Source organism: Homo sapiens, chromosome 7 (genome assembly GCF_000001405.40).
Source record: "Homo sapiens chromosome 7, GRCh38.p14 Primary Assembly".
Taxonomy (NCBI): domain Eukaryota; kingdom Metazoa; phylum Chordata; class Mammalia; order Primates; family Hominidae; genus Homo; species Homo sapiens.
Window position 1 is genome coordinate 111,718,521 of NC_000007.14, and position 19,453 is coordinate 111,737,973.

Genomic DNA, 19,453 nt, shown 5'->3' on the forward strand with positions numbered 1-19,453 from the left:
TGTTAACCTCTTTGTGTCTATGTGTATTCAATGTTTAGCTCCCACTTACATGTAAGTGAGAACATGTGGTATTTGGTTTTCTGTTCTTACATTAATTTGCTTAGGATAATGGCCTCCAGTTGCATCCCTGTTGCTGCAAAGCACAAGATTTTGTTAGTTTTTATGGCTGAATAATATTCCATGGTGCATTCATACCACATTTTCTATATCCAGTCCACCACTGATGTGCATCTAGGTTGATTTCAGGTCTTTGATATTGTGAATAACATTGCAATGAACATAAAAAGTGCATGTGTGTTTGTGGTGGAACAATTTATATTCCTTTCGGTATATACCCAGTGATAGGATTGCTGGGTCAAAGGTAGTTCTATTTCAAGTTCTTTGAGAAGTCTCCAAACTGTTTTCCACAGTGGCTGAACTAATATCTCCAGCAGTGTTTAAGCATCCCCTTTTCTCTGCAACCTCACCAACCTCTGTTATTTTGTGTTTTAAACAATGGCCATTCTGACTGGTATGAGATGGTATCTCATTGCGGTTTTGGTTTGCGTTTCTCTAATGATTAGTGATGTTGAGCATTTTTTCATATGCTGCTTGGCCACATGTATGTCTTTAAGACGTGTCTGTTCATGTCCTTTGCCTACTTTTTAATGAGGTGGTTTGCTTTTTTGCCTGTTGATTTAAGTTCCTTATAGATTCTTGATATCAGAACTTTGAAGGGTACATAGTTTGCAAAAATTGTCTCCCATTCTGTTTACTTTGTTGAGAGTTTCTCTTGCTGTGCAGAAGTTCTTTAAGTTTAATTAGGTCCCACTTGTCTTTGTTTTTATTGCAATTGTTTTTGGAGGCTTCATCATGAAATCTTTGCCAAAGCCTATACCCAGAATGGTATTTCCTACATTTTTTCTAGGGTTTTTATAGTTTTAGGTCTTACATTTAAGTCTTTAATCCATCTTGAGTTGATTTTTGTATATGGTAAAAGGAAGGGGTCCAGTTTCAGTCTTTTGCGTATGACTAGTCAGTTATCCCAGCACCACTTATTGAATAGGGAACCCTTTCCCCATTGTTTGTTATTGTTGACTTTGTCAAAGACAAGACGGTTGTAGGTGTGTGGCTTTATTTTTTGGCCCTCTAACCTGTTCCATTGGTCCGTCTGTTTTTCTAAGTACCATGCTGTTTGTATTACTGTAGCCTTGTGGTACAGTTTGAAGTCAGGAAGTATGATGCCTCCAGCTTTGTTCTTTTTGCTTAGGATTGCTTTGGCTATTTGGGCTCTTTTATAGTTCATTATGAACTTGAGAATAGTTTTTCTAATTCTGTGAAAAATGTCATTGGTAGTTTGATAGAAATAGCAAATTGCTTTGGGCAATATGGCCATTTTAACAGTACTGACTATTCCTACCTATATACATGGAATATTTTTCTATTTGTATAATCTCTGATTTATTTTAGCAGTGTTTTGTAATTCTCATTGCAGACATCTTTCACCTCCCTTGCTAGCTGTATTGCTAGGTATTTTATTCTTTTTTGTGGCTATTGTGAGTGGGACTGCATTATTGATTTTACTCTCAGCATGGACACTATTGGAGTATAGAAATACTATGAATTTTTGTACATTAATTTTTGTATCCTGAAACTTGACCAAAGTTGAAACTGAAGTGAGTGAAATTGAGATGTGAAAATCCATACAAAAGATCTACAAAACCAAGTTAGTTTTTTGAAAGAATAAATAAGATTAATAGACTTCTAGCTAGATTAATAAAAAGAGAGAAGACCCAAATACAACACAATAAAAAGTGACAAAGGTGACATTACCACTGACCTCATAGAAATAACAAAAATCCCTCAGAGACTATTATGAACATCTCTATGCATACGAATTAGAAAACCTAGAATAAATTGACAAATTCCTGGAAACATACAACATCCCAAGATTCAACTAGAAAGAAACTGAAATCCTGAACAGACCAATAATGAGTTCCAAAATTAAGTAATAAAAAAAACCTACCAACTAGAAAAAGGCCTAGGACGGAGAGCCAGATAGCCAGATAGATTCATAGCCAAATTATTCAAAACATATAAAGAAGAGTTGGTACCATTCCTACTGAAATTAGTCCAAAAAATTTAGGAGGAGGGACTTCTCCCTAACAATCTGAGGCCAGAATCATTCTAATATCAAACCTAGCAGAGACACGATGAAAAAAAAAAACTTCAGGCCAATATCTCTGATGAACATAGACTCCTGATGAACAAAATATAAGCAAATTAAATCCAGCAGTACATCAAAATGTGAATCCACCACTATCAAGTAGACTTTATTCCTGGGATACAAGGTTGGTTCAACATATACAAATTAATAAATGTGATTCATTACATAAACAGAAGTAAAAACAAAAACCACATGATTATCTCAATACATGCAGAAACGGCTTTTGCTTAAATTCAACATCCCTTCATGTTAAAAACCCTCAATGAACTAGGCATTGAAGAAACACACCTCAAAATAGTAAGATCCATCTATGACAAACCCATAGCCAACACCATACTGAATAGGCAAAAGCTAGAAGCATTCCTCTTGTGAACTGGAACAAGACAAGGATGCCCACTTTTACCACCCTTATTCAACACAGTTCTGGAAGTCTTAGCCAGAGCAATTGGGCAAGAGAAAGAAATAAAAGGCATCCAGATAGGAAGAGAGGAAGTCAAACTATCTGTCCTCATAGACAATATGATTCTATATCTAGAAAATCCCATAGTCTCTGCCCAAAGGCTCCTAGAACTTATGACTAACATTTCTATGACTTGAATTTTTTGCCTATTGTTTATCCAAATACTCATGTTCCATTTTGAAATATTTTCTTAGCATAGGTTTACAGTAATGGAGTTATATGGCTCAAAGGACATAACTATTTTTTAGACTCTTGATCCATATTGCCACATTTTGTTCTGAAAAAGCTATCCTAATTTAGTGCCACCAGCTGTATCAATTAGTACGACTTTCACAATACTCTTTCTACAATTGGGTGCTGTCATGTTATAAATTTAGCTAATTTAATAATACATTTAGCGGCCGGGCGTGGTGGCTCATGCCTGTAATCCCAGCACTTTGGGAGGCCAAGGCAGGTGGATCACGAGGTCAGGAGATCGAGACCATCCTGGCTAACACGATGAAACCCTGTCTCTACTAAAAATACAAAAAATTAGCCAGGCATGGTGGCGGGTGCCTGTAGTCCCAGCTACTTGGGAGGCTGAGGCAGGAGAATGGCGTGAACCCAGGAGGCGGAGCTTGCAGTGATCCGAGATCGTGCCACTGCACTCCAGCCTGGGCGACAGAGCGAGACTCCATCTCAAAAAAAAAAAAATTTTTTTTTAAAAATACATTTAGCTAATGTTACACATTTAGCTAATTTAATAATAATTTAATATGCTATAACAAATGTTATTTCACTATAGTTTTTTCCCTGATTAGTAGAATGGTTATTTTTCCATTATTTGTTTCTGGTTCATCTTTTATAAATTATCTATTAAAATATTTTCTCCCTTTTGCAATACTATGTATCTTAATAGCATATTTTTAAATCAATTTGGGTGAGTTCTTTATAGAATGAAGACATTAACATTGTTATATTTACTCCAATTGTTTTTTTTTTTTGGTCCTGTTCTTTTATTTTGGTTATCTTTGACTTAGAGAAGTTTTGAAATTTAATACAGCTAATTCTGTCTACTTTTTATAAATGCTTAAGTTTAAAAAGTTGCCTAACCAAAAGAAATAGAAAGGAAAGAAAGGAGAAAATTTTCCTATTGTCTGAGGTTGGTAAATGTTACATTTGTTCTTGTCTTCAGGCCTAGCCATTGTGTTAGCTAGATGAATATGCTCAACGGTCACAGCCAGCTCTCCTCAAGGAGGAAGCCGTATGAGACAGGATCAATGCATGAGTAGAGAGCTCAACTCTGAAGAGAAGAGCACCTCTTTCTCTGGGTTTAGATGAACAAGGATTTGGATAAATTGTGTATTGAGGCAGAAGGCTGAGGTAGTGCCATCTAGAGAGTGAGGGGAGGGAGAATGGGTGTGATAGGACATCCTTGCCGAATTTCTTTATTATAGACCCAAGCTCTCTTAACACTCACCATGCAATTACTAGTGTTTTCCCCCCTTGGAAATAAACTGGGACTGTTAACTGTTGTTCTAGACTAAGACATATCAAGACTTTCCCGGGCTTTTATCAAAATGAGAAAATTTACATAATTGACACAAAAGGGACTTGTAAACTGTTAATAATACCTGTAAAATTCCTTTTAGAATTCTATATAAAAATTGTTTCTATTGGCTCCTTACTGCTGCTACTAAAGAAGAAGAGCTTGACTGTTTAACCCTTCACAAACTTATAGGATTAAAAGTAGCTGGTCTCATTGCTAATCACTTCTGCACTAGTAGTGCAGAAGTACAAGTAAAAGAGCAGATCTGGATCTGGACCTCCTTGAAAACCACATCCGGAGTTTGCAACCAGGTCCAGATCCAGATTTGCTCTTTTATATAAAGAAAAAAATAAGCAAGAGAAGTGAAACCAGCGTAGTGGCATCCAAATATTGTATAATTCTTTTTCAATCTCTTAAAATGCATCATCATCATACTTGCATATAGTTCTATAAAGCCTCTGCATAAAATAGGAGCCCCTTGCAACATCCCAGGTCACCAGCCATTTTTACTCCTCAGAGACAACTATTTTCAATTTTTAAAATTATTTCTTAATGTTTACCTTATATCTCTAAATAAAAAAGTATCTTTTATGATACTTTTTGATTGTCATTAAGTTTTATGCATTATCTACTAATATCCCTTTATGGAACATGAGAATTTATTTTATTCTCCACATACATGAATTCCTTTACTCTCATCCTTCCAGTATAATTATATGATAATTTGGGGCTAGATCAATTATGTTTTACATTTCCGTAACTATGTAGATATGATAAATGGCTGACTCATATAGTATAGTATAGTTACATTTACTTTCTTGTATAAAAGGTTTCAGTTCTTTCTGGAGTTATTAGCTTTTTCCACTTGCACAGCTTTCTAGGTACCTAACTCACCCATCCCTTAACTCTGTTACAAAAGTGTATGTCTCCCTTTAGTAAGGTTCAAACACAATGAGCACTTCATCGCCTTCATCTTCTTGGATGGAGACTGTTCATTCTGTGAGCAGACTGGGCTGTTTAGTGTGGTTGTTCAGATCATCATCCTCACTTCTAGGCTTTTGGCTCCTTAATTGATTGTGAATGACAGAGGTAAACTCTAGATAAGTGATACATGGGTTCAGAATGTTGGGGATTTTCTAGTATTCTATAGAAATAGGATCTAAAATGTCTTAGCAATCTCTTCTCTGGGATGAAGTGTTTTAGTAGGTGCCATCCTAAATTTAAAGCCTGTTACTTTTCTTTTCATCTCCCCTTTTCATTTCCTTTATCAGGATATCAATATCCTTAGCACAAGATTCTATAAATAAAATACTTCATTCACTTATTAACCTTTTCTCAAACTTTAGGTAAGGTAGCAGTATTCCCCCCCCCACCCCACCAACATATTAAATAAGTAAACACACATTGATATCCAATCTTGAAAAAATTGCCATAAAAATATATTACTGGTGGCACTAAAACTGAAATAAGACTCTCTGAACCCCCCTCACTTAAAATCCTTGCCTGGCTGTTTCTATTCATCCTAAACAATTATACTGTGATTTGCACCCAATCCTACTCAAAGCCTGCTCATTAAAAGATCCACCTTAAACAAAACTCCAGAATTTCAACAAAATCTGATCTTGCCCTTTGCCATAAGACACTACCAAAGCTCTGTTGAGGTGGGTTTCTCTCCTTTATGGTAGGGAACAATGAACTCAGCCCTGTATCGTCAATAGATTGTGTTGATGATTGTGTTTTTGAGGAACTAGCAGTTAACAATTTAGAAAAACTATGTAATATATATGTGTAGAAAAAGGCAAAAGGAATATGTAAAAAGTAGTATTAATAGTTATGTCAGGGGATTGGTATTTTGTTATATTTCAAACCTATTTTTATGGTATTCTTTTTTTTTTTTTTTTTTTTGAGATGGAATCTCGCTCTGTCGCCAGGCTGGAGTGCAGTGGCACGATCTCAGCTTACTCAACCTCCGTCTCCCAGGTTCAAGCAATTCTCCTGCTTCAGCCTCCTGAGTAGCTAGGACTCAGGCGTGTGCACCATGCCCACCTAATTTTTGTATTTTTAGTAGAGATGGGGTTTCACCATGTTGGCCAGGATGGTCTCGATCTCTTGACCTTGTGATCTGCCCACCTCAGCCTCCCAAAGTGTGGGGATTAATATGGTATTCTTACATAATGAGGGTTGGGCTTAATAAGTAAGAATTCATTTCAGTACAAACCACCTTTCAATGTGTACAGATAAAACAGAGGCAAAGCTATGCAACTTGTTATTCTCTTTGTTGTGTTTTGTAGAACAATTAGTAACAATCCAGGGAGAAACCTACTTATGTAGGAAACTGAGCTCTTCTTATTGTAATTGTGCTTGTAGAATCCAAATACTGATGGGTTCAGTTGTAATATAAATAACCCAAAAATATTCTGAAGTCACTTAGTTAATGTTGAGAAACAATCAGGAGGACACTGACAATGGCCTTTTTTTTAAAATTTTTTTGAGACAAGAGTCTTGCTCTGTTACCCAGGCTGGAGTGCAGTGGCATGATCTCAGTTCACTGCAACCTCCGCCTCCTGGGTTCAAGCGATTCTCCTGCCTCAGCCTCCCGAGTAGCTGGGATTACAGGCACCCGCCACCACACCCAGCTAATCTTTGTATTTTTAGTAGAGATGGGGTTTCACCATGTTGGTCAGGCTGGTCTTGAACTCCTGACTTAAGGTGATCCAACAGCCTCAGCCTCCCAAAGTGCTGGGATTACAGGCATGAGCCACTGCGCCCAGCTGACAATGGCCTTTAAATGGATTTTTGTATTCTACGAGGCTGAAGCTGTAGACAGTGGTTTTCTTGGCACTGAGTTACATAAATGTCTTCAACCTTATACAATATTGACACATTTCACCAAGTTAAAAGCCAGGCTTTATTAATCGAAATCTTGTAGTCAGTGGGTTTTTCAGTGTATGTCACATGTATATTTTCTATCATTTTATGAAAACCAGGGAGAAGAGTTGGCATGCAGATAGATTTTTACCACAGCTGTCAAAACCAGCATTTAACCATGCCCTTATATGCTTGGAAGTTATCTGTTTTATGTCAAGTTTTCTGATGCAAACACATTTTGATGGTTTGACTTGTTAAGTTGGCTCTGGTTAGGCCAATGAATGGTCAGCCAACCACGTAAATGTTACCCTTTCTATGGGATATTAACCCATACTGTTTGTTACCTTTCTGGTGATTGTTCCCTATGGCATAAGTGAGCCGTAGTGAGTGTGAAATGCATCTACGTGGCAGGACAACACAAACAGGATCTATCTAAAAAGAAGTCTGGAAATCTCACTATAATAAGATCAAGAGCCGCTTCTATTACAAGTAAAGACATGCTGATGATAGGAGTAAAGACAGAAATATTAAGATTAATCTGGTAATTTTATTTAATATTTACCATTCAGCAGCAACCAACATGAACATGTGGGCTAACAGAATCTCTTAAAATGTTCTGCTATGTAGCTGCTTCAGAAATACACACACATGATAAATTCAAGATAAATTCAACTGCTCACTGCCAAAATTTTTTTTAAAAAATGGCTCCAAGAGCAAATAACACTGATTTATAATGTGCCCAAGCACTAGTCAACAAATCTATTAAATTACACAGGAAAAGGAAATCAAGGAAGCTTTGTTATCTTATGCATGTCATCTTATTTAAATGGAAGGTTTTACTTCTTTAAAGCAACAGAAATATGGAGCTTCACATATATATGTATATATATATGAATGTGGTTACAAACACGAAGTGTTATCAAAAGCAAAAGCTAGTTCAAAAAATTTCTGACTGCAAAACTTGCAAGATACAAAGCTAAAATGCATATGTTCCTTTTCTCAATTATGAACACTTTCACTAAACATAAATATTTAACATATATTAATTTTTCCGACATTCAAAATTGTAAAGTCAATATGGCAGAATTGTTAAAAGCACATATGTACAAATATTCTTTTTCCATACGTAAAGTATTTGGCATAATTATAACAATCATACTGCATCAACAACTGTTTGCGTTTATTTTTACTTTTTTTTACACATAATGGTATCTCTTATTAAAATTAACCAGTTATATACAAAAATACTTGAACATTTATTATAGAAAACCTCTATAACCAGCCTCAACAGCATATACCTGCTGAATGGTTTCATTAAGAGAATATAAAAAAGTGGTCACTGCCTTCCAGGTAAGCTACCAACAAAACAAACATGGTTAAACTAAAATGAGCTTCCCAACAAAAGAGGGAAAATATTTAACAGTATGATTTAAAATACAGTTCATATCTATTGTCAATTGAGTGTTATAAACAGTCAGTAAAAGAAAAAACAAAGATATAAAATACATTACTACATACAAGGTGCTTTTTTCACACTTCTACAACTGGCATTAGCATCCCTATCTAGACCTAAGATGCTATGTTGCAATATTCAAGCTAGAGAAGTCTACAGCAATCCTCCTTCAAGAGAAAGACGACAGGTCAGCTAAGACAAACTCCACTGGTAAAAGTGGAGAGTCGTGAGGAATTTTTTATTTTGTGCAGGACTGAAAGTTAATGCCCTTGCCTTTTATAAGTCCTTTTGCCATTTAATCGTGCTAATACATTTTCACTAAGTTTTTTTTTTCTTCACTTAAGCTATTAATTTAATACTGTCTGTATTGATTCCTGAATTCTTGCTAATGGGGCACAGTCATTTGTGCCTCATTAATACTTCAGCATTTGCTCTTGTTCAATGACAAATTTTATATAGGAAACTATCAAGAAAGGAAGCGCAAAATTCAAGTAAACATTTCTTCTGGAGCCTCTTGCTTAATCTAGCTGATTGGAACTCTGAAGCAAATTGCACCTTGAAAAGAAATACAGTAGATACCACGGTGTCAGGGTAGTAAGGGATTTAGCTACCAATTCACAAAATAGAATTTTACGAATGTAGACAGCAGTCAAACAGCAAAAGCAACCTTAAAGAAGTATTTTGTTTCAAGAACAAAACAATTTCCAGTCCCAAGCTTTGCAACCCCTTAAGTATACTGTCTTGCTCGCCTGCTTGAACTTTAATTCTGATGATCTGCACTGATAAACCTTGCCTTATTTACAGAAGTCTTCTAAAATAAGGACCACTGTGTTAGGATGTGCACTGACTTAATAAGCTTTCTCCAAGTATCAAGTATTCAGTAAAAACGATACAACATTGTCACACATTGTATCGTTTGACAATATCGTATTGGTTTTAAGATTAAACTATATAAAAAAAAGTGAACATAAAAAGGTACAAAAGGAGTCTTTATCACTATTTACCACTTCCAAATGAGAAACGTTTTAATGAAATTCAGCCATACTTCATTTAACATCTGGCGTTTTAGATCAGCAACTTTTAATATTGTGCAACATGATATTTAATAAGCAAGTTTTAATTCCATTCATCGAAGGAGCTGAGTAAGTTATTAAAGTGCCTACACTAAATGTCTTCTCATCATACTTCTTATTTTGTAAACGGGCAAAGAATGCATCGCAGGTACATAGAAAAGTGACTTATAACTGAGAGACCTTGCGGGGCAGGGGCCTGGGCCGCGGGCCGGGGTCAGTCCTCCGGGCCCCATTCTCCAGGTGGCTGGATCGCGCTGCCAGAGGCTTGGGGGGCAGCGCGGGCGGCTCCGACGTGACGGGGATGGAGAGGCTGTGAGGTAGCGGGACGGGGCGCCGCAGAGTCCGCTCGTAGACGCTGTACGGGGGCGGAGTCTTGCTCTCCTTGCGCACTGGCTCCTCCCCGCCGTAGCTCGGCACGGGCACCGGCACTGGCACCGGCAGGGGGGCCGACTGTTCATTCACCTGATTTTCAAAGCCTGAGGTTTCCGACGTGCTGCACCGGCTGAGAGAAGAAATCCCACTGCTGTAGCTGCCCGACAAGACAGGGGAGTTGGAGATGAGTCCTGGCGAGTGGTACTCCACTGGAGAGGGGGTGAAAGACTGCACAGAGCCCTGCTCCGGGGAGAAGGAAACGAGAGGGAGACACAGCATTGAGTCGTGAACGCAGATGCGCTGAAATGTACGCCCCGACGCGGAGGCCCCGGCCCCCAGCACCCCCAAAGCCGGCTGCAGCAGGAGATGCAGCCTTTAAGGAGGTGATTAAGGTAAAAGGCCATTATGGTGGATCCTAATCCAAGCTGACTGGTGTCCTTATAAGAGACATTTGGACACACAGGGAGACGTCAGGAATGCGACACACACAGACCTTGCAGGAAGGGCGGTCTGCAAGCCCAGGAGGGAGGCCTCGGGGAAACCAAGGCTGCCACGCATTGATCCTGGACTTCTACCTGCCAGAATTGAGAAAATACATTCCCAGTGTCTAAGCCACCCAGTTTGTGGTATTTTGTGAGGGAAGCCCGAGCAGACGAATACACTCACACTCAAATTTGAGTGTTGTCCTTTGTAGCACTGAAAATGCACACCAGACGTTTATCTGCGAGGGCCACCAGTCCTCGAGTTCAGTTCACCGCCCAGTTTACTCCTTATCATTTTCAGATAGAGGAGAAAGGAGCTGGGCATGGTGGCTCACGCCTGTAATCCCAATACTTTAGAAGGCCGATGCAGGGATCACTTGAGGCCAGGAGCTTGAGACCAGCCTGGGCAACATGGCAAAACCCCATTTCTACTAAAAATCCAAAGGGTTAGCTGGGCGTGGTGGCTCATGCCTGTAATCCCAGTTCCTCTGGGAGGATCACCTGAACCTTGGGAGGTTGAGACTGCAGTGAGCCGTGGAGCCACCAGTGCACTCCAGCCTGGGCAACACAATGAGACCCTGTCTCAAAAAATAAATAAAGGTATCCACCAAGATAATCTGGAGGCACACATTAGTCCTATAGTTTGGAAGAGAGGGAACTGGCCAAAAACCCCAAAAACCTAAAAACGCCATAAAACCTTTGGGGGCGCTATTCACTTTCCCAGCTCAGCAGGGCATGCTGCAGGCCAGGAGCCAGGGCCGCTGAGCACACTCAGCTCAGAAGACCCAGAGAGCTCAGGAGGAGGAGCAGAGGCACCCGAGGTTCTGCACCTGATTTCTCCAGCCATCACTCCAGACTCCAGACTCCTGAGCTGAACTGGCGAACTGGCAGCCCTCGGGGCTGTAGCCTGTGATGTGAGCTGTTTCCTCAGCAGTTTTTTAAAAACCTAATTTAGTTAATTTTTAACATTTCAAATTTCACATGAAACTCCAGAATTCTGGCAGTTCATAAAGAACTAGGAGTTCTGGCCACAATGGCACACATTCTCTTAATAGAGATAATCTTTAAAAGCTGAGAAGGGCTGTCCCTTTTCACTTTGCCAGTCCCCACTATGCCACGTGGGGACTACACCCGGCCTCCTTCATTTGTGTCAGCTGTCTGGCCCCATTTGGCATCTGAGTTTGTTACTTTCCCAACTAGTATCCCAAGGAAAACGAGTCCTAAGATAGATGCTCTGTGAAAAGAGGGTTCCGCTGGGAAATGCTGCACACTGTATACTCCTTGTGTATATTCAAAACATATTCGCATTTTCAAGGCTTAGAATAAAGGAATACAAATAATTTTGTTCAGTCCAGTGTTTTCCAAACTTACTTGACTATAGACCTTTTCTCCCCCGCTTATTACATAATGTCCTGGAAAACTAGTGTTCTATGGTATACACTTTGAGAAATGCTATCTTCTTAAGCTAACTTGACTTTGGTTTCTCTTTGTAAACAAAATAACGCTGGTAGATACACATCCTGTCATTTAGTAGGAGCCTAACATTAAGGCCAATTAAGAGTTCCCAATTCACTGCTACCTCTGTCAAAAGTTAGACCTGAAATTCAAAATATGGCAGGTCAGCTCAGTCTTCGCTGTAGGGTTAGACCCACAGTTTGATGGCTGGCTGGGGTAAAAAAAAAACCCAAAACCCCACTAAACTCTTATCAGTTAAGGCAGCACACTGCAAGGCTAGTAACATGGTAGCAGTGTGCCCCCTAATGTAACCCAGGAGGTATAACACAAATGTTCGATCTATGTTCTCTTCCTTCAAACCCTACATATAAAGACATGGCTTCGAACTGCATATGGCCAGTAAAAATGTACACAGGTCTGCTGAGAGACAGTATATACCAGCTTGCTAAGACTATTTTATAGCTATTCAAACATTTTTAGCTCTTGGGTTCTTTTTAATGTTTAAGAATTAATCTCTTAAGACTTATTTTCTTACTACCCAACAAAATTTAAGTTGAAAAATACAGATGATAATTCCATAGCAACGTGTGGGAGCTCTGTGTGAGTAAGGGCAAATGTAAAAGTGCGGAAAAGCCATGTTGCTTTCCTTTCTATCACATCGAGGTGACAGGCTATGACTTCCAGAGTGAATGCTGTCACAGGTACTTCATAATAACAGCTGCATTACAGAATGAGAACAAAACGAGCAAATCACTTGCACTTACCCGCGAATTTCTACGTCAGAAATTCTGGCAATGCAAGGGAATCACACTTCTTTCAATTTTCTCCATTTTGCGGGGGGAGGCGGGTTGTTTTCCCGTTTCTCAATTTCTATCAGCAACTATCGTTAGCACCACAGATGCACTGGATCGCAACCTGCCCCTATGTGTTTGTAGAGGCTAATTTGTCTTTTGCACATTAGCTAGAACTAGCTCATCACACAAAGGACATGGAGCGTGTAAATCCTAAGTCACTCAGGTACAAAATCATTCTTTCGACACACTTCATATTTGCCTCTGGTGCAGCAGTTCTGAACACCAATCTCTCACGTACTGACAATCCTTGAAGCCGGTCTGATTCAATTTGGATAAGACTAAATATTATTCTTTATCTTCATGAGGGATTTTTTATGTTTAAAGATGTTAAATAGCCCATGTCTACAAACCAATTCGAATGTCTGACCTTTACAGCTTTCCAGTTTGTTCCCTAGAAATCTTTTAAATCCATATTACTGCCTTGTTTTTCATGATCAAGTATGTATTTCTAATGTAAATGAGAAACTTGGTATAAAATATTAACAGAGAATGTTAGGTTTGGCTTTGACAAAATGGGTTTGGCTGACGATAAAGGCAAAAAGACACAGAATATTTAGTAGATCTTGATACTGATGTTTCTCAATCTAAGTGTGTGTGTGTGTGTTTGATGTACCTTAAACTAAAAGGCCAGGCTGAAAGTTTCCTAGGAGGTACATTAGGACCACATTCCTTTCCTAATTCAGTATATGCACTGACTTCAGTCTGCAAGTTCTCACTGCTACCATTTGGAGAATGAGGCTAATAATCGAAAAACAAATGGCTGCGTTTGTGCAGGAGGCACCCAGAAGGGAAAGTCCAGTGTTGTTTTTCTCAACCAGCTTCCCCTATCCCTGATTGATAAGTTCTTTGCCTGGTCCCTGCAAATTAAAGCACCTTTTGATATATCTGGGATGAGTCTTAGAGAAAAAGAAAACTGGGCCAGTCTCTAGCCTCAGTCGAAAGAAGGGCCTTTACCTTCAATGGAGATCGCCCGGCAGGCGAGGGGGATACTGATGTCGTGTGTCTTGCTGGTGAAGCTGTCAATGGGGAGAGAGATAACATTTCAATTAAGAAAAACCAGACGATTGACTATCTGCACATGCCCTCTGTGTTACAAACCCAAACAGATGATCCAGTGCATAAGGACCTTCTAAGCAAAGGGGGTGGTGAGGATGGGGGAGAAGCTAAATGATGCCTGTCTAGAATGGGTTCTCACAAAGGGTGGCACTGCCAAGATATGGGAGCATCAGTGAAAAGTTATCATGGCATATATGATGCTTTGACTATTGACAGGTTCCCAAACTGATCCAATGTCCTTTCCGTTTCCCCAAAGTCCAGGTGCTTCTGCACTGCTTGATCTGTCTCATAAGGTGCTTTTAGGTGTGAGATGCTAGGGAGCAGTTCTTGGGGAACAGCTGTTGACTTTGGCGTGAGCACCAATGGGAACACCATGGCCACCCCAGCAGCCTGGAACAGGTCTACGGGAACATATTTAATCAGCTCCCCCCAAACAACCCCAGTACTCCCCAAATAGGTAGAAAACCCTTGGCCATGGCCATACAACAGGTGCATGGTTTTCCATTTCTTCCCCTAATGCTTGTACTCAGGTCTTCCCATTATCCCCTGGTGGTGGGTCTCTATGGATTTCATCATCGTGGCCAAGAAGAGTGAACTGTTTGCTTTTTCTCACTAGATTTTCAAGTCCTACACCTGGAACACAGCATGTGTGATAGCACTGTTCCTGTGTGCATGCTTGTATAGCAAATCCAGCTCTCTAAAGCATAGCCCTGTATGGTAAAGGCTGGCGTGACACAGTCAACAGGGTGAGAGTCAGCCACATTTCTCAATTCCACAGAGACGTTTCGGTGAACTCTGGGTATGTCGCTCTGTGATTAGCTGCTACTCTCCCAGCTGTCACAGTGAGGTTTGCAACTCACAACTACTGAAAGGCTGTAAGAAAGAAAGACAGTTACAGAGCCCCACAACAGTGACCACAGATGATGACATAAGAACAGACCATGAGAGCAATCAGTGCAGAAGGGATGGCAGCCCTGCCAGTTAACTTGGGAGGGGTAAGGTCATCTGTGTGCTCTGGGTCCTAAGGGGTCAGTGAGAGTGCTCCATGATCACACTGGTAGTGTGCAGCCTCTCTCTTGCACTCTTGAATGCTGGGGCATGCTGTCAGCACGTGTCACATTCTAATACCAGCCTTAGTTCTCCTATCCTGTTGATCGTGGGTGCTGATTATGGAAGAAAATCACATCTGTATGGAGAAGCTGATCCTGACGGAGAACTATGTTCCTGCCTTAACGGTGGTAGAAAGTTGATTGTTCCCTAGGACCCTCTTCCTCCTGACTCAGGCAGTTGCTGACACCACCATGGTGGCCCCTGCAACCACAGCATATTTGCATCAATATTATTCCTTAAAAAATGCTTTTCAGGTTCTCAACTTTAGGGACACAACCAGGTTTAAATTGGAGACTGCCTGAATATATGTACATCGTGAATGAGATACAAATAGTTTGGCCGATAAGTTTTAGGCCTCTGTACACATACTGATATACTAATGCAGGTGATCAATAAGCTTAAAGTTATTTCTTGTTTTCTTTGAAGACCTCATATGTCTCTCAAAAATTATTGGTGACTTGACTTTTGGCTTTGACAAGTATAGAGTAAACTAGGTGGCACATAGTTTATTGTGTTTTGTGGCAAGGTCTCACTTTGTTGCCCAGGCTAGAGTGCAGTGGCTCAATCTTGGCTCACTGCAACCTCTGCTTCCTGGGCTCAAGCAATTCTCCCACCTAAGCCTCCCAACTAGCTAGGACTAGAGGTGTGTGCCACCATGCCTGGCTAATTTTTGCATTTTTTTTTGTAGAGATGGGGTTTTGCCATGTTGTACAGGCTTCTCTCAAAACTCCTGGGCTCAAGTGATCTGCCTGCCTTGGCCTCCCAAAGTGCTGGGATTACAGGTGTGAACTACCTTATTTGGCCCAGGCTGAAGTGCAGTGGTGCCATCTTGGTTCACTGCAACCTCTGACTTCTGGGCTCAAGCCATCCTCCCAAGTAGCTGGGACTACAGGTGTGTACCACCACACCTGGCTAATTTTTATATTTTTTGTAGAGACGGGGTTTTGTCATGCTGCCCAGGCTGGTCCCAAACTTGTGAGTTCAAGTGATCCACTCACCTTGGTCTCCCAAAATGCTGGTATTACAGGCATAAGCCAAAACACCTGGCCAAGATTTTGCTGCTTAAACGACCACCTGAGGGGATGCGGTACCCTGAATCAACCCTTTGCGAAATATAGTCCTTGCATAAAGACCTCTCAAAGCAACAGATAACTATGGATACAAAGTTAATGACTCTGATAAGCTTATGGAGCGTAACTGTTAGTCAATGGCTATTTAGAGGCAACTGGAAACTTTGGCATCAGTCCTGAATAAGACTGAAGAAAGTAGCTGAGTTAGCGGAGGTTGATAAGAATGAAGTGGTTCAAAGTGAAGGTTAGAGAAGATGCTAGTGGCCTACCAAGGTTAGGGTGCCTCCCCGAATTTGAGAATGGTGGCTTGGTAAAGAGCACTCTATAAAATCTGTCCGAGAGGCTTACTTGGAACAGACCACTGTTTGACCCCGTGTAATAGAAGTTCAGGAAAGAGGGAGACAATTGTCAAGGAATTATGCAGCTACTAAGGTTTTTATCCCAGAAATCAAACGCCTACCTTTCTCTCAGGAATTCAGGACAAACTGGAGTAGTCAATAAAAGTTATTTTATAAAAGTGATCATTCAAATTCTTCAAATACCCACCAGTCTGTGTGGGTCTTGGAGGGACAGGGGGAGAGATAAGTTTCCCACTATCCGACATGTTCTTGGCTTCCTTCCCACTGTCCAGGCTCCAGCTGCTAGGGGTGGGGTTCACAGCTGGAAGGGAATAACACAGCTAAAAACACACGGTCCAGCTTTGCCCTTCCAATGCTTGAGATCTTAGAAGAAAGTCAGAATTATCCAGAATGAAAAACTTAACTGGATGAAAAACAAAACAGGAAACTTCTTGAATACTAAACCTTTATTTAATTGGCTGCCTAACAGTTATAGTTACCATTTAACTGGGCGCTAACAAGTCTCTTTATTTCCCTTAATGCTGTCAAAGGGAACTACAAATCTTTACACTGGGGTGTAAAACTTGCTGAGAATTACAAATGTGTTTAGATGCTGGATAACAGATGGAAGATGTAGTCACTGGGCTATTTTAAAACTTGGCTTTTAGTAGACATTTCTGGACAAGTGACACCTAAAAATGGAGAAGGCAATGACATACTAATATTTTAACTATTTGGCAGAATTCTTGGGAAAGAACAGCCATGCAATATTATCTCATTGATAACTCTTTCTGAAATCAATGAATTACACTGAAATATGTCCTTAAAAAATGATTTGGAATATGGACAGTGTCATTCTTATTTTGTAATTTGTCTGCTCTGTGCTTCGATAAGATGCAGGAATATGGGGCAATCCTGGCAGGAATAAGGGCAGGACACGCTGGTTGTAAATAGCCACTATGCAATGAGGTTTACAACAGCAAATCTGGGTTCCAGTGACTCACTCCCTGTACAGACACTGCCATCTGGTGGGCATGTTGAGAATTTCAACATTTTACCACTCGACCATTTTCACTTAATGGGATGGAGTTACCACTCTTAAAATTCTTTTTCTCTATTCTTTTAAATTTGCATCGTGGTTTTCTTTAGTAGAAGGGGTGAGAAAAATACCACATTCCTTAGTTCTACTGACAAAGATGAACATGTGACTTGTAACATTAAAGCTAAATTTGTGTTTTAAAATAATTTTGCCTAAGACTTCACTAATTTCCATCTCCCAAGGAAAGTTCTAATGTAGCAGTGTACCCAAATGACAATAGTTTACTTCTTAATGAGGGCAATTAAAAGGCACTTTCCCAGACTATTTCATTAACGACTCTTGATTTATTGGCCTGGGGAACTGCTCTTATTTTTGAGGCTTGACCCTGAGAGAGGTGAATGGGTGACTTGCTGCAAGCCCCGACCCCGTAGCTGAGGAAATCGTGTTTAATCTGCTCTTCATCTTCTGCCGTGTTGCAGACTGATCCTAATTGGCTATTTACTGCTGTCCATGTGTTTGGTTCTCATTTTGTGTGACCTTGAGGCAGGGCACACTCCATTATGCACTGGATTGCAATTCTTAAATGGTATTTAATTGTACAAGAGCCGTATCTGAGTCACAACAAACAACACATGAGTTGGCTGAATGAGCTTTGTAAGGGAGACGAAGGATGGGACCACCGAATCGATCCGGGTGAAGCTATTTTCATTGTGCTGAACAAGGAGCCTAATTGGCAACTTTGCTTCAGGAAGAGGAGGCATTGCCTGGGTGACTCACTGGATGATAACAAAAAGCCATTAAACATAGGCGTTCCTATCTTGCTCAGATTCTGCTGTTAAAATCTTATAGGAAAACAGCTTTTGAAGAATGATCATGAATAACTGTCTTTCATTAATCCCTTAAAGAGCATACTAGTCCTGATCATTAAAGAGCTAGAGCACTGCTTTCCACACAGACACACAGAAGACTGGAGAACATGAGGATAAAACAAGCCCTTACACATTCCAGGACTGACCATGGGGCTGGCCTTACCTTTTTCAGGTGCAGAGAGATTTGGGTCACTGCGTGGCAAGGCCCCGTCTCCAATATGATTAAACAGCATCCTCTGCAAAGTTACAAGGGTTGATTTTTATGATGTGATATACGGGCATGTGAAACCTTTCAGAAAATGAGACGATTATCTCCTCAGTAAAACTTTTTGTTCAAAATAATTTTTGTGTGATATGATGAGCCTAGGAACAAATAATTTAATTATATTTAAGTAAAAGGGGGTGGGAAGAGCCTTAGGTTTTGAGAAAGAAAAGAGTGTTGGAAAAGTTTGTATTATATTTTAAATATAAATGGTAAATGTTCATAATAAAATGTAAAAAATAAATAGTAAATAGCAGTTGTGCTATGAAGTTCTTTTTTTTTCTTTTCTTTTTAGAGATGGAATCTCACTATATTGCCCAGGCTGGTCTTGAATGCCTGGGCTCAAGCAGTCCTTCCAACCTTGGCCAATCCCAAAGCGCTGGGATTACAGGCATGAGCCACCACACCTGGCCTGTGTGGAGTTCTTTGTAAATACAAATGCTACAGTGGTGATATAAAACAGAAATAAGAATTAAAGGAGAAATATTAGTTCAAAAAATCACTAGTGAGTGAAATTTAACCCCTGCATGTTAAAAATCATTTATTAGGTAAAAAATATATGAAATAATTGATAGTCTACAATTTTTAACTTATAAAAATGCCAGTTTTACATGGTTTTACCTAATATATTAAATAGAAGGTACCAAGTCCTTAAAAGTAGATGTACTACGGCAGTGCACACTATTGAAATTTAGCAACATATATACTGCTTCCAATTTTACTAAAACCAGAAAACTTGGGAGGCTAATCAGAGAAGGCTTTCAGAGTTGCCCATGCTGACAAGAAGTTCTCCTGGAGCAGAACAAACTGAGAAATTCCCTTGCAGCATCATCAAGTGACAAAGGGAAATAGCTAGTCCAGCCAAATGCACTCAGATATAATTTCTGCAAGACATCAGCGTTGTGCAGAGGCGGTACCCTGGGACTTTCGGGAGGATCACACAATCAGCAAAGACAAA

General features: G+C 40.0%; 1 protein-coding gene across 14 annotated transcripts in view; it reads right to left on the minus strand.

The window, feature by feature from the left end:
- Window positions 7,590-19,453, minus strand: part of DOCK4 (dedicator of cytokinesis 4) — a 480,290-nt gene continuing 468,426 nt past the window's right edge. For 10 of the 14 annotated variants that reach the window (XM_047421081.1, NM_014705.4, NM_001363540.2 and 7 more), the window contains 4 exons: window positions 18,397-18,469; window positions 16,534-16,647; window positions 13,706-13,767; window positions 7,590-10,200 (listed from right to left, as the gene is read on the minus strand). In XM_047421081.1, coding sequence (XP_047277037.1) covers window positions 9,754-10,200; window positions 13,706-13,767; window positions 16,534-16,647; window positions 18,397-18,469 — 696 coding nt within the window. In that variant the 3' untranslated portion in view covers window positions 7,590-9,753. The remainder of the gene's footprint in view (window positions 10,201-13,705; window positions 13,768-16,533; window positions 16,648-18,396; window positions 18,470-19,453) is intronic. The other 4 variants (XM_006716189.3, XM_017012825.2, XM_017012823.2 and 1 more) reach the window with 1 other exon arrangement.